Here is a 24,021-nt window from a genome sequence, read left to right on the forward strand (position 1 = left end):
CTGAGGGAAGTGAATTGCTCCTGCAGGACCTGGGAGACACCCCAAACACCATGAGTGCCCAAACTATGGAAGTCGGAAAGGGGCATCGTTCACCCCCAAACACACAACCTCACTGGGGAACCGCAAGATCTAGATCACTGGAGAAGATTCTGACATTACCTGGAGCTGAGTCAATTTAGAGAGCCGAGTGAAATGCAGGGGTAGAGGAAGCAGTGGGAAAATCCCTGTGGGCTCTCTGGGTGACCTAGCAATCCATTTCTGCCTTGCCTCCCAGGGGTCATTGGGGAGGGCTACCAGAGGCACTGGGAAAAGGCCACAGGGAGAAGGAAGCCTCCAGCTGAACTTTGTAACAATTCCAACTGAACAAGAAGTCTCCTGGCCAGAACTACAGGGAGGGCGTGAATCCTGTGTGCAGACCACAGGCAGGGAAGCACGAAGGGTTCACAGCTCTCACAGCTGGGCGGCTGGTAGCCTGGGGCAAGCTCTCAGCCCTGCTTGCCCACTGCCCTGGACACAGACTTGGTGCTGTTGAGCAGGGAATGGTGAGAGTGAGACTGGCCCTTTGGGTTGTGAGGGAGCTGGGTGAGGCCTGTGATTGCCAGCTTTCCCTCACTTCCCTGACAACCTGCATGACACATCAGAGGCAGCATAATCCTCCTAGGAACATAACTCCATTGACCTGGGAACCACACCTCCATCTCCCACAGCAGCCACAGCCACACCTCCATCTCCCACAGCAGCCACAGCAAGACCCACTCAAGGAGAGTCTGAACTCAGACATGCCTAGCGCTGCCCCCACTTAATGGTCCTTCCCTACCCACCCTGCTAGCTGAAGACAAACAGCGTATACTCTTGGGAGTTCTAGGGCCCCACCCACCACCTGATCCCTCCCATACTACCATAGCTGATGCTCTCTGGAAAGTGCCACCTCCCAGCAGGAAGCCAGCCAACTCAAAAACAGTGCATTAAACCACCAAGACTAAGGACCCTCACAGAGTCCATTTCACCCCCCTGCCACCTCCACCAGAGCAGGCATTGGTATCCACAGCTGAGAGACCCACAGATGGTTCATATCACAAGACTCTGTACAGACAACTCCCAGTGCCAGCCCAGAGCCTGGTAGACCTGTTGGGTGACTAAATTCAGAAGAGAGATAATACTCACGACAGCTCAGATCTCAGGAAGCCACATCCCTAGGAAAAGGGGGAGAGTACTACATCAAGGGAACACCCTGTGGGACAAAAGAATCTGAACAACAGCCTTGAGCCCTAGACCTTCCCTCCGACAGAGCCTACCCAAATGAGAAGGAACTAGGAAACCAACTCCGGTAATATGACAAAACAAGGCTCTTTAATACCCTCCAAAAAATCACACTAGCTCACCAGCAATGAATCCAACCAAAAAAAAATCCCTGATTTACCTGAAAAAAAATTCTTAAGGTCAGTTATTAAGCTAATCAAAGAGGTGCCAGAAAAAGGAAAAGCCCAATTTAAGGAAATAAAAAAAAAATACAGAAAGTAAGGGGAGAAATTTTCAATGAAATAGGTAGCATATAGTAAAAAGTAATCAAAACTTCAGGAACCAACGGATGTAGTTATAGAAATTCAAAATGCTCTGGGAAGTCTCAGCAATAGAAGCGAATGAGCAGGAGAAAGAACCTCAGAGTTCAAACACAAGGTTTTCAAAATAATCCAACAAAAACAAAGAAAAAAGAATAAGAAAATATGAACAAAGCCTCCAAGAAGTCTGGGATTATGTTAAATGACCAAACCAAAGAATAATCGGCATTCCTAAGAAGAAGAGAAATCTAAAAGTTTGGAAAACATATTAGGGTATCCACTACTGGGTATCTACCCAGAGGAAGTCATTACATGAAAAGGATACTTGCACACATATGTTTATAGCAGCACAATTCTCAGTTGTAAAAATGTGGAACCAACCCATATGCCCATCAATCAATGAGTGGATAAAGAAACTGCAGTATACATATACGATGGAATACTACTCAGCCATAAACAGGAATGAATTAATGGCATTCACAGCAACCTGGATGAGATCGGAGACCATTATTCTAAGTGAAATAACTCAGGAATGGAAAAGCAAACATTGTATGTTCTCAATCATATGTGGGAGCTAAGCTATGAGGATACAGAGACATAAGAATGACACAGTGGACTTTGGGGACTCAGGGAGAAAGGGTGGGAAGGGAGTGATGGATAAAAGACTACAATTTGGGTGCAGTGTATACTGCTCGGGTGATGTGTGCACCAAAATCTCACAAATCACCACTAAAGATCTTACTCATGTGGCTGGGCGCAGTGGCTCATGCCTGTAATCCCAACACTTTGGGAGACCGAGGCAGGTGGATCACGAGGTCAGGAGATCGAGACCATCCTGGCTAACATGATGAAACCCATCTCTACTAGAAATACAAAAAATTAGCTGGGTGTGGTGGTGGGCCCCTGTAGTCCCAGCTACTCAGGAGGCTGAGGCAGGAGAATGGCATGAACCCGGGACGCGGAGCTGGCAGTGAGCCGAGATCGCGCCACTGCACTCCAGCCTGGGCGACAGAGCAAGACTCCGTCTCAAAAAAGAAAAAAAGAAAGATCTTACTCATGTAACAAAACACCACCTGCTCCCCAATAACCTATGGAAATAAAATAATTTTTTTAAAAAAAAGAATCTAGGCTGGGCATGGTGGCTCACGTCTGTAATCCCAGCACTTTGGGAGGCCAAGGCGGGTGGATTACCTGAGGTCAGGAGTTTGAGACCAGCCTGGCCAACATGATGAAACCCTGTCTCTACTAAAAATACAAAAATTAGCCAGGCGTGGTGGCACACACCTGTAGTCCCAGCTACTCAGGAGGCTGAGGCAGGAGAATGGCATGAACCCGGGAGGCAGAAGTTGCAATGAGCCGAGATCGTGCCACTGCACTCCAGCCTGGCCGACAGAGTGAGACTGTGTCAAAAAAAAAAAAAAAAAAAGAAAGAAAGAAAAGAAAAAGAAACTAATAGGGAAAAACAGCTAGTATCACTCTTACATGAGATCTTTAGGCATTATACAGTAAGACTGTCTCAATCTCAGTAAGAACTAAGTAAATAAATAAAATAACAGACTTTTGTGCATCCAAAACTTTCAGGCAAAGATTGTAAGTTCTCTAGCATCATTATATGCCCAGGTTATATTTCTCAAGCCTTACTTGTTCCTTCCACACATTAACATTTCAGAATTATATTTCATTTATAACAGGTATTCTCTAGGCTCACTAACCTGACAGGGTTAATATCAAAAAATAAAAACAAAAATAATGGCATTTAAATAAAAATAGCCTCTGGCTTGAGCCCATCCTAGCAACCACAGTGAAATTCCAGCTTCCCCCAAATCTTCTCAGAGTTCTTGGATGGCCTGAGAATGATCCCCACAGCCTCTAGACGCTACCTGCAATGTTCTTTGCAAGGAGCTCCCCTCTTCCCTTCAATTGGTTCCACCTCTGTCTACAAAGCTGCTTTCCTTTCTCTCTTATGGCTCACTTTACTGATACTGAACTCCTTGCTTCCCAATATTGAGATCTGCTGTGTCCTGGGGCTGGGGCTGTACCTCTCCCGTATCACTCCCCTGCTCTTGTCACCATCAGCGCTTCTGTCCTGAGCTACAAGCCCTCAGCTAAGCCACAGCATGCAAGTGCATGTTTCAGTCTACAGGCAGAGCTGGAGGCCGCTTGCTCCAAAAGAGAACATCCACTTTACTTTCTTACCTTGCTGCATCCACAAGAGGGAGCCTCGTGCCAGCTTCTCCAGCCAGGATGGTAGCCCCCAAGACTCTTCCTCTTCCATCCACCTTTAGGTGCAGCATCCAACAAGGTCAAAATCACAATGTCTTGCATCTAACAAAAAATTACCAGGCATAAAAAAAAAAAAAAAAAAAAAACAGGAAAATATGACCCTTAATATAAAGGAAAAAAACATGAAAAACAACCCAGAAATGACACAGACTATAGAATTAGTGGAAATAGTTATTATAATTGTATCCTATATGATATATAGTGTATATATATATGTAATTGATATATAATTGTATCAAAAATTTAGAAGACTGAACGTGTTGGTAGATCTATAGAAGATGTTTTTTAAATACCCAAATTGAACTTCTGAAATTAAAACTATAATGTCTAACATGAAAACACATTGGATGAGATTAACAGCAGATTAGACACTAAGAAGAAAAGATTTGTGAACTTAAAGACAGCAATAAAAGCCATCCAAATTGAAATACAAAGAGAAAAAAAAAAATGAAAAGAAACGAGAAGAGCATCAGGGCATTGTGGGACAACTTCAATCAGTCTAAAAAATGAAAAGATGCTTCCAAATGTAAAAAAGAATCCTTTAAATTGTCAAAGAGCCCATCAGAATTTTTAACAGCTCTATTAGAAAAAAAATTCATTTTGCTGCTTAAGTTCCAGCAGGCCAATCTTTGTGATGAATCCCTTGGGATGTTGCCAATCCAGACAGGCAGCTCTTAAGGTGACATACCAGTCATCCAGGGACTTACCATCATGTCAGTCATTTTGTTACTGTTTTTAATAATGTAAAATACTTGACCAATGAGGATTCCTTCCAGAAATGCAAAAGTTATCCAACAATAGGAATCCTATCTACACAAATCATTACATTTATAAAGAAGAAAGCCCACATGATTTTATGAATTAATGTATAAAGGTGTTTCTCTAATATTTAACAGCATTCTAATAAAAAGTTTAACTAACATAGGAATAGACAGAAGCTACCTAAACAAGACGAAAACTGTTTACCAAAACAGAATTCTATTTTTAATCATGATGGAATAATAGAGACTAGAAGTACCTTCCCTCCTTGCACAACTAAAAGCTGGACAAAATATATCAAGTGAAAGTTTTCAGACATTGGACAACAGGCAGTGCAAGACTGTGATCCCTGAGAGAAAGACAAGTGAGATGAGCCTGCAAGTACCCCCAGCTCACTGCCTGGAGAATTTCCAGGCTGATCACAGAAAAAAGAAACCAAAACAGGAGTCCAACAGTCTCACTGATTAAGGAGACAAAGTTCAGAGTTCCAGCAGGGCAAAATGAGAAAAATCTGTGAGGCAAAGTATCAGAGAAAAAGTACTGCAGAGAGTGAGGGTTCCAGAGATCTTCAGAGCAGTCCCTCAAGACTTGGGCTGAGTACTGCTATGTGCTTGTGTAAGGAGACTACTGAGGCTGGGGAAAGAACAGCAGAGAAGAGTAGGCAGAACAATTTCAGGAGTTCACACAGGACCAGAAATAGTGTTTTCCCTAGCCGGTTTGGGAAGATCTCCTAATACGGTGGGGCATTGGGTACAGTTCTCAAAAGCAAATTGCCTCAGTGGGGCCAAATTAGCCCTCAGTGTAAAAGTAAAGTACCTAAAGGGATGTTTAGAAATCCAGCACCCAATAACATAATGTGTACAATGTCTGGCATTCAATAAAATATTACCTAGTATGCAAATAAGCAGGAACATAAGACCCAGTACCAGAAAAAAAAAAATCATTCTATAAACATAGACCTATATATGACTCAGATGTTAGAATTTGTAGGCAAGGACATCAAAACAAGAATTATAAATTCACTCCATATGTTCAAGAAGTACAAGAAAGCATGAGTATAGTCGGGAGAAAAATGAAATGCCTAACTAAACTTCTAGAAATGAAAAATACAATAACTAAGCTGAAAAATACATTGGCAGGATTAACAGCAGATTAAATGCTACAGGAGAAAAGATTTGTGAATTTGAAGATATAGCAATAGGAACTATGCAAATTAAACATTGAGAGAAAATATAAGCCAGAAGAAAACTAAACAAAGCATCAATAAGTTGTGGGACAATATCAAGTAGCCTAACATATACATAACTGGAGTATCCAGAAGAGGGGAGGAAAATAATACTTGAAAAAAATGGCCATTTTTTTTCCAAATTTAATGAAAATAAACCCACATGTATTAGTCAGAGTTCTACAAAGAAACGGAAGGAATAGGATATATATATATATAGTATTTATATTAGTATTATACTATATATATTTTATACATATAAAATATATTGCAGGTGTGAGCCACCATACCCAGTATATGTATTATTTATATATGTAAATATGTAGTATTTTACTAATATAAATATATTGGCAACATATAACTATATTTACATATATAAATATATTAGAGGGAGAGAGAGATTTATATGAAGAATTGGCTCACACGGTTATGAAGGCCAAAAAGTGCCATGATCTGCCATCTGCAAGTCAGAGACCCAGGAAGACCAGTGCTGTAATTCAGCCAGTGGTTGGGTCCATCCAGAAGCACTCTCATGGACACAGCAAAAATTATGTTTAACCTGTGCACCCCATAGCCCAGTCATGTTGACACATAAAATTTATTATCACAAGTCTACCCTTTGTCAACTTGGCACCCATACACATCTCCTCAAACCAAACTTATTCTCCAAATAAAAATAATAGGTCATAATTCCACCTACCTTAATACTACCCTGGATACAATAAAAAACACAGTAACTTATTTCCCAGATGAGGAGGTAAAATCCTTGAAACATGTTTACTCTTTGATATACTATAACACTTGGCTGGGTGCAGTGGCTCACACCTGCAATCCCAGCACTTTGGGAGGCCAAGGCAGGCAGATCACTTGAGCTCAGAAGTTCAAGACCAGCCTGGGCAACATGGTGAAACACCAACTCTATAAAAAAAAATACAAAAATTAGCCAGGCACGGTGGTGTGTGCCTGTAGTCCCAGCTACTTGGAATGCTGAGGTGGGAGGATGGCTTGAGCCCAGGAGGCGGAGGTTGCAGTGAGCCAAGATCGTGCCACTGTACCACAGCCTGGGTAACAGAGCCAGACTCTGTCTCAAAAAAAAAAAATTAAATTAAAAATACTTAAATACTATGATATAAAATATTATAAATACACCTTATGTTACATGATAAGGGAATAAGAGTGGAAGGATAACAAAGATTCACACACAAATGTGTTTACAGCAAAATAAGGAGAAAATAGACATGGCAATTACCATCTTTGTTTCTGTAACTGGCCACATGGTCATGGCTGGTATTTACAACTACCTTTTCCCACTACCCATTCTGTATTCCCATTGCCTTCAGCAAGTACCTCAGCTTTATCTGGTAGGGTGACTTCAACTTTTATTCCTGAAGGGTTTGAGCCATTTGTAGCCCTGCCTGGTCGGGCTGTAGTTTTCTATTGACATAAAACACAGGGCATGGTAATACTAAAGATACCCTAAGGAATTTCCTGTATTCTGGATATACTTACTCTTCCTTAACTCCATTGTGGAATAGTAGTCCAATTTCCCCCTTGGTAGTCAGGACCAATCATCCCAGCCAACACTGTAACTCCCTTCTTTACCTATTAATTGAGAAATATGAGGATCCCAAAGTGGCCAGGTGGAAGTCTTAACTTTCAGTTCTTGGGATCATTATTGTGTCTCCTGGTGGAAATATCCCTTCCTTATGGAAATATCCCTTCCTCTAGAACTAAGAACTCTAGGTCAGCAAAGCATAAAGTCAGGAACAGGAAACAAAAATTTTGCTAGTGGGTCACTCGGGGTAATAGTGAGTGGTGCCACTCCCACTTTTGTCTTTTGATCTCTTGACCTGTGAATGCTACTTGCTGTAGGAGAAACAAGATCTTATATTGGACACTGATTCATAGCATATACAGCCTTCTGAGGAACTTCACTCCACCCCTGCAAGAAATTGCCACCTAGCTGATGTCATAACTGAGACTTCAAAATGCTATTCCACTGTTTTATCAAGCCAATTGCTTCAGGATGATGGGGAAGATAATCAGACCAGCAAATTCCACGAGCATGGGTCCGTTGCTCTGTTTCTTTTGCTGTAAAGTGAGTTCCTTGATCAGAAACAATGCAATGTGGAATACTACAATGATGAATAAAGCATTCTATAAGCCCATGGATGGTAGTTTTGGCAGAAGCATTGTGTGCAGGGAAGACAAAACAATATCCAGAGTAAGTGTCTATTACATTAAGAACAAACAGTGTCCCTTCTATGATGAAAATGTCCCCACATAATCAACCTACCACCAGGTGGCTGTGTGATCACCCTAGGGACTTGATGTTGGTCTCTGCTCAATGTTGGCCATATCAGGGACTCAATGTTGCTCTCTGCTGTTGGCAGATTGGACTTTCAGCAGTAACTGTAAGCCAGATTGGCCTTGTTGAGTGGAAGTCCACGTTACTTCCCCAAGCATAACCGCTATCACTGCCATCATGGTCACTTTGTTCATGAGACCATTAGGCAATGACAGAGGTAGCTGGGAAAAAAGGGTGACCAGTATCCACAGAATGGGTCATCTTGTCCACTTGATTATTAAAATTCCCTTTGTGAGTATTCACATGGGACACAAATATCACCATGTGTTTTGCCCACTCAGAGAAGTCTGTCCATATACCTCTTCCTTAAATTTGTCACCAATTTTCCAATCATGTTCCTCTCAATTCCCTGAACATCCAGCCAAACCATTGGCCACAGTCTGTACTGATATATAATCACAGGTCTGGCCATTTCTTCTTCCAATAAAAGTGTACAATCAGATGCTCTGCTCAAAGTTCTGACCAGTAAGAGGATTTCCCTTCACAGCTGTCTTTCAGGGATATCCCAGTAAGAGGTTCTAGTACTGCAGCTGTCGTGTCTGCATATTGTGCAGAACCATCTGCAAACCAGGCCTGAGTCTTCTCCTATCGATTGATCATAGGGAACTCCTGGTAACACCAAAGGTGCAGGCAGTGAGAGAGAAGGCAGTGTTGCAAAAGTAGATACCATGAGCATTTGGGTCACTTTTTCATGTAACTTACATGTGCCTTCAGGGCCTATTCCAACCAGATCATGTATGTACTATTTCCATTTGATGATGGAGTGCTGTGTATGCCAAATTTTATGACTTGGTGGATCAGATAACAGTCAGTTCATGATGGGCAGCTCAGGTTGCATGGTAACTTGGCAGCCAATGGTCAAACATTCAGTCTCTACTAAGGCCCAGTAGCAGACCAAGAATTGTCTTCCAAAAGACACTCCTGCAAGAATGGCCATAATAAAAAAAACAGTAGTCGTTGGCATGGATGCAGTGAACCAGGAACACTTCCGCACTGCTGGTGGGAATGTATACTAGTACAACCACTATGGAAAACAGTGTGGAGATTCCTTAAAGAACTAAAAGTAGAATTATCATTTGATCTGGCAATCCCACTACTAGGTATCTACCCAGAGGAAAAGAAGTCGTTATTTGAAAAAGATACTTGCACATGCATGTTTATAGCAGCATAATTTACAACTGCAAAATTGTGGAACCAACTCAAATACTGATCAATGAGTGGATAAAAAAAACTGTGGTTTTTTATACGTATACATATGTGCGTGTGTGTGTGTGTGTGTGTGTGTGTGTGTGTGTGTGTATGATGGAATACTACACAGCCATGAAAAGGAATGAATTAACAGCATTTGCAGTGACCTGGATGAGACTGGAGATTATTATTCTAGTGAAGTAACTCAGGAAGGGAAAACCAAACATCATATGTTCTCACTGATATGTGGGAGTTAGCTATGAGGATGCGAAGGCATAGAATGATACAATGGACTTTGGGGGCTTGGGGAGAAAAGTAGGAGGGGGTCAAGGGATAAAAGACTACAAATATGGTGCAGTGTATACTGCTCGGGTGATAAGTGCACCAAAATCTCACAAATCACCACTAAATAACTTACTCGTGTAACCAAATACCACCAGTACCCCAATAACTTATGAAAAAAAAAATTTTTAAAGATAAGACAGCAATAGCCAAGTGGGTTTCATACCAGGGATGCAGGGATATACAAGTCAATAAATGTGATATTATGCCCAGTAAACAGAATTAAAAACAAAAATCATATTATTATCCCAATCAATGCAGAAAAAGCATTTGACAAAATTCAGCATTGCTTTATGATTAAAACCCTCAGAAAAATTGGCATGGAAGGGACATACCTCAAGGTAATAAAAGCTATCTATGACAAACCGACAGCTAACATACTCAACAGGGAAAAGTTGAAAGCATTCCCCCTGAGAACTGGAACAAGCCAAGGATGCTCACTTTCACCACTTCTATTCAACATAGTACTGGAAGTCCTAGCCAGAGCAATCAGACATGAGAAAGAAATAAAGGGCATCCAAATCAGTAAAGAGGAAGTCAAACTGTTGCAGTTCACTGATGATAAGATTGTATACCTAGAAAACTCTGAAGACTCATCCAAAAGGCTCCTAGATTGGATAAATGAATTCAGTAAAGTTTCAGGATACAAAAATCAATGTTCATAAGTCAGTAACACCACTATATACCAACAACGACCAAGGTGAGAAACAAATCAAGAACTCAATCCCTTTTACAACAGCTGCCATATATATATATATATAAAATATATTATATATATGTATAATATATATATTATATATATTCAGCATCGCTTTATGATTAAAACCCTCAGAAAAATTGGCATGGAAGGGACATACCTCATGGTAATAAAAACTATCTATGACATATATATATATATACACACACATATATCCAAGGAGGTAAAAGACCTCTACAAGGAAAACTACAAAACACTGCTGAAAGAAATCACTGATGACACAAACAAATGGAAACTGACATTTGTATATATGTATATATACAAAATTAGCCAGGTGTGGTGGCAGGTGCCTGTAATCCCAGCTACTTGGGAGGCTGAGGCAGGAGAATCGCTTAAACCTGGGAGGCAGAGGTTGCAGTGAGCCGAGATCTCACCATTGCACTCCAGCCTGGGCAACAGCCTGGGCTGTGTAGTATTCCATCATATATATATATATATATATATATATATATATATATATATATACACACACACACACATACACACACACACACACATGCACACACACACGCACACACACACACACACATATATATACGTATATATACAAATGGAAACATGACAAAACTCATGGATGGGTAGAATCAATATGGTGAAAACGCCCATACTATCAAAAGCAATCTACATATTCAGTGCAACTCCCATCAAAGTACCATCATCATTCTTCACAGAACTAGAAAAAAAATTCTAAAATTCATATGGAACCAAAAAGGACCCCACATAGCCAAAGCAAGACTAAGCAAAAAAAATCTGGAGGCATCGCATTAACTGACTTCAAACTATCCTACAAGATTTATACCAGTACCATAACAGCATGATACCAATATAAAAGTAGGCACATAGATCAATGGAACAGAACAGAGAACCCAGAAATAAAGCCAAATACAACCAACTGATCTTCAACAAAGAAAGCAAAAACGCAAATTGGGAAGGGGCACCCTATTCAACAAATGGTGCTGAGATAACCGGCTAGTCACATACAGAAGAATGAACCTGGATCCTCATCTCTCACCTTATACAGACATCAACTCAAGATGGATCAAAGACTTAAATGTAAGACCTGAAACCACAAAAACTTTAGAAGATAACATTGGAAAAACTCTTCTAAACACTGGCTTAGGCAAAGATTTCAAGACCAAAAACCCAAAAGCAAATCTAACAAAAACAAAAATAAACAGATATTACCTAATTAAATTAAAACACTTCGGCACAGCAAAATAAATAATCAGCAGTGTAAACAGACACCTCACCGAATGGGAGAAAATATTCACAAACTATGCGTCCTACAGAATCTACAAGGAACTCAAATCAGCAAGAAAAAGAGAAATAATCCCATCAAAAAGTGGGCAAAGAACATGAATAGACAGTTCTCAAAAGAAGATAACGAAATGACTAACACATGAAAAAAAATGCTCAACATCACTAATTATCAGGGAAATGCAAATTAAAACCACAATGAAATACCACCTTACTTCTGCAAGACTGGCCATAATTTAAAAAGTCAAAAAATAGTAGATGTTTGCATGGATGTGATGAAAAGGGCACTTTTACACTGATGGTGGGAATATAAACTAGTACATCCACTGTGGAAAACTTTATGGAGATTCCTTAAAGAACTAAAAGTAAAACTACCATTTGATCCAGCAGTCCCACTATTGAGTATCTACCCAGAAGAAAAGAAGTCATCATATGAAAAAGCCACTTGCATCTGCTTGTTTATAGGAGCAGAATTCACAATTGCAAAAATATGGAACCAGCCTAAATGCCCCTCGACTGACAAGTGGATAAAGAAAATGTGATATATTTACACCATGGACTACTACTCAGCCATAAAAAGGAATGAAGTAATGGCATTTGCAGCAATTTGTACGGGAGTTGGAGAACATTATTCCAAGTGAAGTAACTCAGGAATGGGAAACCAAATATCATATGTTCTCACTTATAAGGGTTTGCTAAGCTATGAGGACGCAAAGGCATAAGAATGATATAATGTGCCAGGCGCAGTGGCTCACACCTGTAATCCCAGCACTTTGGGAGGCCAAGGCAGGTGGATCATGAAGCCAGAAGATTGAAACCATCCTGGCTAACATGGTGAAACCCTGTCTCTACTAAAAATACAAAAAGTAGTCGTTGTGGCACGTGCCTGTAGTCCCAGCTACTCGGGAGGCTGAGGCAGGAGAATCACTTGAACCTGGGAGGCAGAGGTTGCAGTGAGCTGAGATTGCACCACTGCACTCCAGCCAGGGTGACAGGGCAAGACTCTGTCTCAAAAAAAAAAAAAATAAAAAAAAAAATATATATAATGGACTATGGGGACTCAGGGGTAAGTGAGAGGAGGGTGAGGGATAAAAGACTATACACTGGGTACAGTGTACACTGCTCAGGTGATGAGTACACAAAAATCTCAAAAATCACCACTAAAGAACTTATCCGTGTAACAAAAAATGACCTGTTCCCCAAAAACTATTGAAATTTTTAAAAATGTAAACGTTAGCCATGCGTGTTGATGTACACCTGTAGTCCCAACTACTTAGGAAGCTGTGGCAGGAGTATCTCTTGAGCGTTGGAGGTCAAGGCTACAGTGAGCTATGATTGCACCACTGAACTTCACCCTGGGCAACAAAGTGAGACCCTGTCTCAAACACACACACACACACACACACACACACACACAAACTGGTTTTGTCCTGGTACCTGATTATTATAATTTGAAGCAGAAATTATTTTGTTTAGATTTTTTAATATTAAGAAGCATCTCGGCCAGGCGAGGTGGCTCACACCTGTAATCCCAGCACTTTAGGAGGCCCAGGTGGGCAGATCACCCGAGGTCGGGAGTTCAAGACCAGTCTGACAAACATGGAGAAACCCCAACTCTACTAAAAATACAAAGTTAGCCGGGCCTGGCGGCACATGCCTGTAATCCCAGCTACTCAGGAGGCTGAGACAGGAGAGTCACTTGAACCCAGGAGGTCAAGGCTGTGGTGAGCCGAGATCGAGCCATTGCACTCCAGCCTGGGCAACAAGAGCAAAACTCCCGTCTCAAAAAAAATAAATAAATAAAAGCATCTCTACTCACGATTGAACTATACAATTAAAAGGTCACACCTTTGTTTCACCATGGTAGGCAAGGTAAATATTAAAAAAGAAAATGGCTGTCCATAAAAGGGATCTGGTGACAGAGGATAGCCTCTCCCAGGGTAACAGGCATCCAGGACTCCACTCCATCAACGATTTCTAAAACAAAGGTTGTGAGCAAGTGCTAGGATGAGACGTGTGATTAAGTTTCTGAGCTGACAGCAAATTTAAAAGATGCCCTCCCAGCTCCTGGCTGCGGCCCATCCTCCCTCTAAGGTGCACAACTCCATTATGCTTTTAACTGATGACACTACCTCTTGGCCATTACCACCTCCCACCAGATCCCATTCACTTTGTTTTACCAGGGAAAGATCTGCTCCAGCTAATGCTTTATCCTTCACAGTGATTTTCTTTGACTTTATAGAAAGGGAGAGCCATTTGGTCAAGAGGCTGCCCATCAGATCCTGTGTCCTTCTGCACTGCTAATATCTATCTGTGGCCCTGCTTTAAAACCCAAATACGAACATCTCTTCCATGAAGCCCTTCCTGATTGCCAGTGCCCTCAACAGTGGGATAAACTGCCAGGCATCTTGGAGATCTAGACCCGTGGTTCTCAATCCCGACTTCCCCCGGCCTCCTGAGAAGCTTTTAATAGGTGCATCAGCCCTGGATTCTTACCAGTAGGTCTGAGAGGGAGGCTTAGCGCTTGTGTTCTTTTAATAGTGTGCACAGGGTTGACGGGAAACACACACACACTGTGCAGAACCATTCCACGAGGCTGTGTGTCCGGAATTGGTTCCCTCCAATGGGTTCCTGGTGCCGCTGACTTCAAGAATGAAGCCGCGGACCCTCGCAGTGTTACACTTCTTAAAGACGGTGTGTCCAGAGTTTGTTCCTTCAGATGTTCAGATGTGTCAGGAGTTTCTTCCTTCTACTGGGTTCGTGGTCTATGCACGACTTCATGAGTGAAGCCGCAGACCTTTGCAGTGAGCGTTACAGCTCTTAAAGGTGGTGCGTCCGGAGTTGTTTGTTCCTCCCGGTGGGTTCGTGGTCTGGCTGACTTCAGGGGTGAAGCCGCAGACCTTCACAGTGAGTCTTATAGCTCTTAAAGCCACAGTGAGTCTTATGGCGGCTCCAGAGTTGTTTGTTTCTCATGGTGGGTTCCTGGTCTGGCTGGCTTCAGGAGTGAAGCTGCAAACCTTCACCATGAGTGTTACAGCTCATAAAGGTAGTGTGGACCTAAAAAGTGAGCAGCAGCAAGATTTATTGCAAAAGGGGAAAGAACAAATCTCCCACAATGTGGGAGGGGACCCGAACGGGGAAGCTGGCCGCGATGGCCAGCCTTTATTCCCTTATTGGCCCCGCCTGCATCCTGCTGATTGGTCCATTTTACAGAGTGCTGATTGGTCCATTTTACAGAGTGCTGATTGGTCCGTTTTTACAGAGTGCTGATTGGTGTGTTTACAAACCTTTAGCTAGACACAGAGTGCTGATTGGTGCATTTACAGTCCTTTAGCTAGACAGAAAAGTTCTCCAAGTCCCCACCAATTAGCTGGACACAGAGCACTGATTGGTGCATTTTTACAGAGTGCTGATTGGTGTGTTTACAAACCTTTAGCTAGACACAGAGCGCTGATTGATGCTTTTACAATCCTTTAGCTAGACAGAAAAGTTCTCCAAGTCCCCACCAATTAGCTGGACACAGAGCACTGATTGGTGTATTTTCACAGAGTGCTGATTGGTGTGTTTACAAACCTTTAGCTAGACACAGAGCGTAGACACAGAGCGCTGATTGATGCTTTTACAATCCTTTAGCTAGACAGAAAAGTTCTCCAAGTCCCCATCAGACCCAGAAGCCCAGCCAGCTTCACCTCTCAGTAGCTTACAGAAGAGGACCCCGCTGCCACAGCACAATACCACAAAGAAAGTCATGCGCTCCTCAGCAGGAAGCCCCCTTCTCCGGGACAGGGACTTTGTTTCCTTCTCAGCTCTATTGCCAGCACCTAGAACTGTGCCCACCTGTCAGATCTGTTATCAGATGGGAACGTGGCAGATTTGTTGAATGAATGAAGGAATGAATGAACTATGTGACACTCAAACTTAGCCACCAAACTTAAACTAGAAAAACTGGGTTGTGGTCCCTGATGGACCGTTGGTGCCTTCTTCCTTTGCTGGACGGTGATCTGTGGCTGTTTCTCCGGTGTGTTCGCAGTGGTTGCCTGGCTTGGTAACAAACACTCTTCAGAGCCACAGCCTGTGCTCGGGCTCCTCGCCGCCTCCCAGGCCCTGCGATCTCTTTGCATCCCAGGAGGTCCCGGTTGGTTGCAGTCCTCCTGGGTGACTCAGGAACCAGCCTCTCCTGAAGCACACAGCCTAGGGAGTTCCTGGGGCCAGAGACATCTCCAAGGGAAGGTCAAGGGCCTGGAGGATGTGCGGACCTGACGACAGATGCCCCGCACGCTGGCCGGGACCGGGAAGGGCGGTCAAGTGTGGAAAGGGTCTGGCGGCTGCCAGGCCTGGCAGAGTGGAGCGGGGCGGGGCGCAGCGGGGCGGGGCGGGCCTGGAGCTGCACCCGCTTCTGGGTGGACGCACTTGGCGAGCGGCGCGGGATGCAGACGGCTGCGAGGCGCTGGGCACAGGTCAGACGTCAGTACCCGCAGGGGGCTTGAAACTGGAGGAGGGCTCGAAGGGAGAGGGAGCCCCGCCAAGGAGCGGGGCTGTGATGGAGAGGGGGTTCCGACTCGCATGGGACCTGCGGGGGAGGGTACGCGGACAGGGAGGGGATACCGACTGGGAGGGGCTCAGGGACAGGGATGGAGGCTCCTCTAGGGGAGGACGGGAGGGGATGGAGGGCCCTGGTGTCGCAGAAGCCCACCTGGGGCCCCCTCCGGGCTGCGGCACCGATGCGCACACTACTCCCACCGCCCCCGAGTGCCTATGTCCGGCTGGCCGCGGCCCTGGAATGAATATTGCTCAGTCCCCCGCGAGTCAGGTCTGCCGCGTTGCAGGGTGAGGGGAAGGTGTGAAGCCCCGGGCCTCCGTCTGCCCCGTGAGTCCGGGAACGCGCGCCCCCGTGGATGCCACCTGGCCCCTGAGCTGTGTCCAGTCACAGCTCACATAGCTCTGGGCACTGGTACCCCGACTGCCTTTCCTTGTTAGCTGCGATACACAAATACATGAGCCAGATCCTTTCCTGAGGCCAGGAAGCCTGGAATCTAATAACATTGGGCGGTGGATAAAGTCCCCCGATCCAGTGCTTAGCTTCCGTTAATGGAGCCATGGATGGAAGCGGATGTCAGGCGCAGTGGGGGAGAAATTTGCGGGGGTGGCCCTGTCTAGGGCCAGAGAAACAACCTCTGAAGCTTAGATCCAGCCCTAGAGGGAAGAAAGATGTGAGTTTCAGCCAGGGAAACCTAGCACTTTAAGAAATAGAAACCCTTTCAAAATTTGAGGGCAGGTAGCTCTCCTAAAAGTTGCAGAAATGGCCACTTCTTTCACGTTCTCTTCGACTGCTTTCTGCCGTGTCTGCCGTTTTCCTCCTCCCGCACCTTTTTGTCTCCTAGGGTGGCATAGCCTTCCAAACAGATCTGCCTACAGCATTTTACCTGCAATTTTACACTGATTTTATAGAAAGGATGGCTTATTGTTCATGAGAAACGTGTACTGTTTTTAACCAGATGTGTTATATTTTCAGTATAACCTGGGTGTTGTGCAGTGGGAAATTACGGAAAGAATCAGGACACGTGGTTAGGTAGGGGCCCAGTGGCGTCAGACTTAGCTCTTCGTGACTGCGAGCTTCTTGGTTTAATAAGGATATTGGCTCGCTCTGTTCCTGGGGTTTCTGGGAAAAGATATGGAACTGAAATGAAGGTTTCATTGAATATGGCCCACTGATTTTACAAGCAGAGGTGCCTGAGATAAGCAAAAGGTGAGGCATGACCTCTGGCTGTGCATTATTTGTTCTGATATTACAGGAGCCAAGCATTCCACTTCCTTCTTTTTAAAGAGCTTTGATTTCCTCTCACATCTTCATGAAGAAGGAAACAGTGCCCCCACTTACTTATCCTCAGGCCACACCTGTTCCCATTTATTCCGTGAGTTCCTCCCGCACCCTTCTGGTTGATGTTGGTTGTGATGGCCGAGGCGAAGTTATTGAATCTCACATTTGGCACCAGTTGTTTCTGTTTCTCATCTCCCCCCTACCTTCAGTTAAACATCAGCTGCTATACTTAGCTGTTCAAAGTACAGATGTTAACTGTGTTGGGTGTGATCAAAAGATTATCTCTTTTCCTCAAATGTAAAATGGGTGAGGACAGTTTCACCACACAGAGTCACTCCCCTAGCCAAAGTCCTTGCTATTGCAAAACATTTTATTGTAAGAGAATTAAAGTCACTAGTGTGTCAACTAGTGGTACTTATAGACACATTCCATATTTGTTTGTGTAGACAGATCATAAGACAAACACTAGATTATTCCCAGTATGAGACCATACTGAATATGAACAATTAGAGGCCACAGGTGAGTGCTGTCCTCCTCACACTTTCTTTGAACTCTTAAGCTTCTACCCTTTTAACCAGCCAGCCCTCTCCCCGAAACCTTCACTGAGGCTAGAAACAAACACAAAGAGACTATCTGAATTTTAGCGAATTTTATCTCTCTTTTCTGTTCTCTTGTGTAAAAACTAAATGACCACAAACTACACCGCTGGAGGAAAAAGGAAAGCTAAAAGGTCTATCAGCCTTCTGTATGTGATGCAGAGTTCAACTGAATATAGCAAGGTACACACCTGCATTCTCCTTGCCAGGACTTAGATATCATAAGCCATTATCTTGCTGGTTGTTGAAATCGTAATGGGGCTTTATAGAGCACAAGGCGATGTTTGTAAACAGCACTGTTCAGGCAAGATTAGAATCCGTATTTCAAAAATGAGGAGATGGAAACAGAGATATTGTGTATGTGGTCCAGGGTTAGCCAGGAATTAAATGGCAGAGCCGGAGCTCAAACCAGCATTCCTTCCAGAATACCACAGCTGCCTCTGGAGTGGTTTTTGTTGTTCTTGTTGAATTTTGTGATGGAAGATTGTGATTTGTTTTTCCTGAACACTTAATATGTTTTCTGACTTGAACTGTCAGAATCTAAATTTAGAAACTCTCATTTGGTATATTTCATGTCCATCTTTGTTCCATATAATTACAAAAATATCTTAGAGCTGGGTATAACCTTAAAGATTGTCAAGTCCAATCTTGTGGTTTTTCAAAGAAAAAAAACGGATTTAAAAAAATAAAGCAAGTACCTCATGTTGCTTCCCCAAATCTACTTCATTGGAGAATTACAGCTAAAAGCAATGTTCAGATTATTGCTCCTTCTGTCATGTGGTCTCTTGAGAATTTGCCAAATGTATAAATCCAGTGACTTATTTTGATGTACTCTTTTGGTTTGAGGTCTGTGACAGCAAACATAACCTCCCTGAATCCCAGCCTGAAATGCCTATGTACCTTCTGTTCTAACTGTAGCCGTTATTATAGTGGCTAAAGTTCTAACTTCTGTTCTAACTGTTCTCCTGGTTCCATGACAAACAGAGCTTTACTTGTCTTATTCCTAGCACAGTGCCCATAGCAGGCATACATAAAATGTGGTCAGTATGTCAGATAAACATCTGAAAAAGTATGACATGTCATTAGAAGTTCATTCAGCTACAAGAACAGAAAACCCTACTACAACGGCTTAAACAAGTAAGGAGTTTGTTTTTCTCAGAGAAGGAGAAGTCTGGAGGTGAGAAGCCTGAGGCTGGGAAAGGGGTTCCGATATGAACTCATCTGAGACAGGTTCCTTGTGTCTTCCCGCACCACCCTCCTTAGCATGGAGCTCTCATCCTCACTTCCCCAAGTTGCAGCAGAAAGACGGGCAGAGGCATGCTCCAGAAGAGTCTTGTCTTGTCTTGTCTTTTTTTTTCTTTTCTTTTCTCTCTTCTTTTCTTTTCTTTTCTCTCTCTGTCTCTCTCTCGTCTCTTTCTTTCTTTTGAGATGGAGTCTCACTCAGTGGCACAATCTCAGCTCACTGCAACCTCCGCTTCCCAGGGTTCAAGTGATTCTCTTGCCTCAGCCTCCAAGTAGCTGGGATTACAGGCGTGCACCACCACGCCCAGCTAATTTTTGTATTTTTAGTAGAGACGGGGTTTCACCATGTTGGTCAGGCTGGTCTTGAACTCCTGACCTTGTGATCTGCCCCCCTCGGCCTCCCAAAGTGCTGAGATTACAGATGTGAGCCGCCGCGCCTGGCTTGTCCTTCTTTATAATAAATAATAATAATAATAGCTTTTCTGGTAGCCCACCCCAAAAGACTTCTTACATGTCATTGGCCAGAACCATATCACATACACACTATTAAAGGTGAGGGAACCTGAGAGAATCTAGTGTTTTAGACGGACACGATGCCAATACATCAAAGTAAGAATTTTGGGCCAGGCACAGTGGCTCACGCCTGTAATTCTAGCACTTTGGGAGGTCAAGGCGGGTGGATCACCTGAGGTCAGGAGTTCAAGACCAGCCTGGCCAACATGGTGAAACCCCATCTCTACTAAAAACACAAAAAATCAGCCAGGCATGCTAGCAGGTGCCTATAGTCCCAGCTACTCAGGAGGCTGAGGCAGGAGAATCGCTTGAACCCAGGAGGCAGAGGTTGCAGTGAGCCGAAATCATGCCACTTGCTCTCCAGCCTGGACAACAAGAGCAAAACTCCATCTCAAAAAATAGTAATAATAACAAAATAGGAATTTTGTTAATAAGGCAGGGGGGAGAATGAACATTGGGTAGGCAGCTAGCAGCATCTGCCATAGTGTGTTTTATGAGTCGTAGATCCTATCTCTAAATAGGTTGTTATTTGTTTTGGTTTTTTGTTTGTTTTACTAAAAAGCAATGGGTAATGCAGTGGGTCTAGAGGAACTTTTTTAAATGGTAGAGTGCAAGGACCACTCTGAGAACTGCTGATGATGTAGGTCTGGGCTGGGTCTATAAATCTCCATTCCGGACGGGCACGCCAGGTCATCTGAGGGCAGGTGGTTGCGGGAATACATTTTGAGAAACACCGAATGTCGGGTAGTTTAGCAGAAGTGCCTTTATTTTATTTCCGTTAGCTTTTTGCCTCACTCCTCTTGAGGATATTACTTTATTTTTTAATTTTCTACTTTGGTCAACATAAATCAATGTATAGCCTTAGAAGTCGTTCATTGTAGAAGGTTTTTATTGAGTTTATACTGAGTATAGAACCCTAGTGGCAATTACTTTCAATGCTTTGGGTTGTGTTTTTCTGATATTACCATATCCTAAATAGCATGCAAATACGGGCCATTTCTTCTTCTCTTTTCCAGTTCTGGGTAACATCTATTGACATCCTACCAAGAAGGATGACGGTTTGCTCCTTTACACCCCCACCCTCCCTCTCACCTTCACATCCCTTTCTTTTAAGTTCCCAATACGGTTATATCCTAAATTTTTGATATGTCAATGTTTGGTGTGTATATTATTCCCAACTAAGGCACATGACACACCATGATCTTTACATTCCCCTTCTTGACCAGTCTTTCCCCCCACCCCATGGAATGGGGTGTAGGAATTGCTACATTTTCTTTAGTTGTTTGTTTGAGAACTCATCTCCAAGAACTCATTTCCTGGAGCCAAGGAAACTCATGGGGGCCCTCTGAGTGCTACTAATTGCATGGAGCTGTTGAGTGGGGAGGAAAAGCCAGGCTGCCATCAAGAAGCATTTGGGGTAAATTTTCTAAGCACATCTGAAAAGACAGAGTCTAGAACCTCCACGGTCCCTGTCTGTTGTGATTTATTTTCTCATTCTAAATACATACATACATACGCACTTTTTTTTCTGTCTAGGCCATCTCTTGTGGAATACATATGTACTTTCATACCCAATTATGTACAGTTTTTGTAATTTTACGCCTTTTTCTTAAAGAAGGCTCCCAAAAGTGTCTAAGATTCAGGCCCCATAAGAGGCGGTTGCTTTTTGAGCTTGTGCCCATTTAAGATGTCACTTTTCTTCCTTCACACTTGATTGCTGGTTTGGCTGGGTATGGGATATTAATCAGAAATCATTTCCTGTCCGAATTTTGAAAACATTGCTCTATTTTATTCTATTTTCTTATGGTGCTGTTGAGAAGCTGATGCCATTCTAATTCCTGATCCCTTGTATTTTGTTTTAATCTCTGGGCATTTGTAGGGTTTTCTTTGTTGTTCATATTCTGATATTTCATGATGCTGTTATTTAATGTTGGGGTGGGGTTTTTTGGCAGGGAGATACAGGGAGGTATCAGTCACTGTCCTAGGTATTTTATAGGTCTTTTCAATCCAAAAATTACATTCTTCGGTTCTGAGTGGTTTTCTTCTGTTATATAATTTTCTCGTTCTTTCTTTCTGAAACTTAAATTACTTAGACTGAATCTGAAAATGGGATCTCTTGGATTTGTCTTGTGATTTTATCTTTTTTATTTTAAAAAAATCCCATGTTTTTTAGTTCTAATAAATCTTCCAACACTGCTATTAAATGTTTACATTCTACCATTACATTTTTAATTATCAGGAGCTTTTATTGGCGAGAGGTGTGGTCTTCTAAATGGTTTTTACAGTATCCTGTTCTCATTTCATGAATGCAGTATCTTCTCTTATTTCTCTGAGAATATTAACTCAGTACTTTTTCTACATTTTAAAAGTTTTCTTCAGCTACCTACAATGTCTGTGTCTATTTTCAAAGTGACTTTTAATGTTGCTTTTGGCCTGCCTTTCATGTTGGAAGTTTTATACATGTTTAGGGATGCTGTGCGTCATCTGTGAGCATGGTTTGTAAGTTGGCTGGCTTCATTGTAGGGTGGTTAGGCAGAGAAAGCCTTCTTGATGGCTTATCGCCTGTCTCTAGTGCTTTCTAGTACATATAATGGGTTTCTCTGTAGAAAGATCTCATTTCTAGCCATTTATTCCTGTTTGAGAAAAGTCACATAATAACTTAGATGTATTTATTATGTCATCTGCTTAACAGCAGAGGTTCTTGTTGTAAGGTGGATAGGTGGAGGTCTAGGATTCAAAATGGGAAATGTGTCCTTGACTCTGCCTCCACTTTGAAGTTGCTGATGTTCTCCACATTTTCTTTTCTATTGAAAAAGCTCTGAGATACCAAGGAATGAAAACTCTTTGAATACATGTACAACTAATTTACTTTTTGATAACCATTTGCAAAATATCGATTATATTGGGAAAACATTTTTCTAATACCTCTAGAATTTGGGACAGAATTTCTGCCCTTGAAGGTAACCCTCCAAATCCATGCAATTTTTCCCTTGTACAGCCCCACAGTGATCATCAAAACTTGGAGCAGATTCATCTTTTTTTTTTTTTTTCCCTGGGAAAGGTTTAGATCACGTGAAGGGAACAGATACTACGTTTGATAGGAATGGTTCCTGCTTTAGCTTCCTAAGGCCTCTCACTTGGAAAGCCTGCCCATTAGACCCTGGATTTTTTGCTGTTAGCTTTTCCTTCTTAGGCGACTTCAACAAAGACTGCAAACTCCCTGACAGCACGGGCCCAGGCTTGTCACCTCTGCAACTCCATCACCCAGAATAGTGCCTTATGCATAATAGGCACTTGATAAATGTTAGTTGACTTAAATTGACCCTATTATCTGTTTTAAACTAGCCCTTCCTACCTGTCCCCTTGCTATTTCCTCTGTTTCTCTTACGTCTTTTTATGTCACCACCTCTTGGATGATGCTACCTCATTCTCAAATCTGATGGTATGGAATAGCTATAAGAAAACAAACTTGAAAGATATCTAACTACTAGGACTCTAAGTCGAATTTCCAGGATTCAAAACTCCCATATCACCTTACTAAATATCTAATTATTTCTTAGGTTATCACCAACCACCCTGCATCGAGTCCCTCCTGAGCCACAGTTCAGTTTGGATTATTTTTTTCCTCATGTTCCATCCCTTGACTGTAGTGCCCTTCCCTTCCTTCCAGTGTCTTTGATCGGCCTCTACTTTGATCCAGAGCTTCTCTTTGATCTGTTCTAATGGTCATTTTTCTGCCTCCTCCCCTACATTGATCTACAATCTGGCATATTTTATACATTATACAAAGCACATTGTTATGCTGATTTCAGAATACCTACCTGTCAATCAGACAGACATCTTTTCAAACCTAACTCAGACCCATGATGAAAGTCTCTCTCTTCTGGCCATTACTGAGATAGCTCCTGCTCTGGTCTCACTGGGGCTGTTTATTTCTCTATGGGAGGCTTTAGAACAGTAACTAAACTACAGTGCAAAACAGTGATCTGTAGATTAGTGTTTCTTAATCATCAGCACTAACAATAGAATCTAAACTCCCAGGGACCTGGAGACTTGGCTGAGAACAGCCTGACATAAGTGCAGTCTCTCTTAATACTAAAAAATTTATGCTACC

At 42.7% G+C, this 24,021-nt stretch overlaps 1 protein-coding gene and 1 long non-coding RNA gene across 20 annotated transcripts in view; one reads left to right on the forward strand and one right to left on the reverse strand.

Annotated features, from left to right (window-relative positions):
* UBE2R2-AS1 (UBE2R2 antisense RNA 1) overlaps positions 1 to 24,021 on the reverse strand; it is a 94,784-nt gene that overhangs the window by 10,448 nt on the left and 60,315 nt on the right. For 10 of the 15 annotated variants that reach the window (NR_170204.1, NR_170201.1, NR_170212.1 and 7 more), the window contains one exon: positions 3,756 to 3,884. This is a non-coding gene — a long non-coding RNA (UBE2R2 antisense RNA 1). Of the gene's footprint in view, positions 1 to 3,755; positions 3,885 to 8,896; positions 9,116 to 24,021 lie in introns of all 15 variants that reach the window. The other 5 variants (NR_170206.1, NR_170209.1, NR_170211.1 and 2 more) reach the window with 1 other exon arrangement.
* Positions 16,147 to 24,021, forward strand: part of PRSS3 (serine protease 3) — a 48,553-nt gene continuing 40,678 nt past the window's right edge. For 4 of the 5 annotated variants that reach the window (XM_011517965.2, XM_047423602.1, NM_001197097.3 and 1 more), the window contains exon 1: positions 16,147 to 16,195. Coding sequence is in view for 1 of the 5 variants with exons in the window: in NM_001197098.1 (NP_001184027.1) it covers positions 16,302 to 16,320 (19 nt within the window). In the remaining 4 variants the exon portion in view is untranslated. 5 annotated transcript variants of the gene reach the window in all.

Source organism: Homo sapiens, chromosome 9, assembly GCF_000001405.40.
Source record: "Homo sapiens chromosome 9, GRCh38.p14 Primary Assembly".
Lineage (NCBI taxonomy): Eukaryota > Metazoa > Chordata > Mammalia > Primates > Hominidae > Homo > Homo sapiens.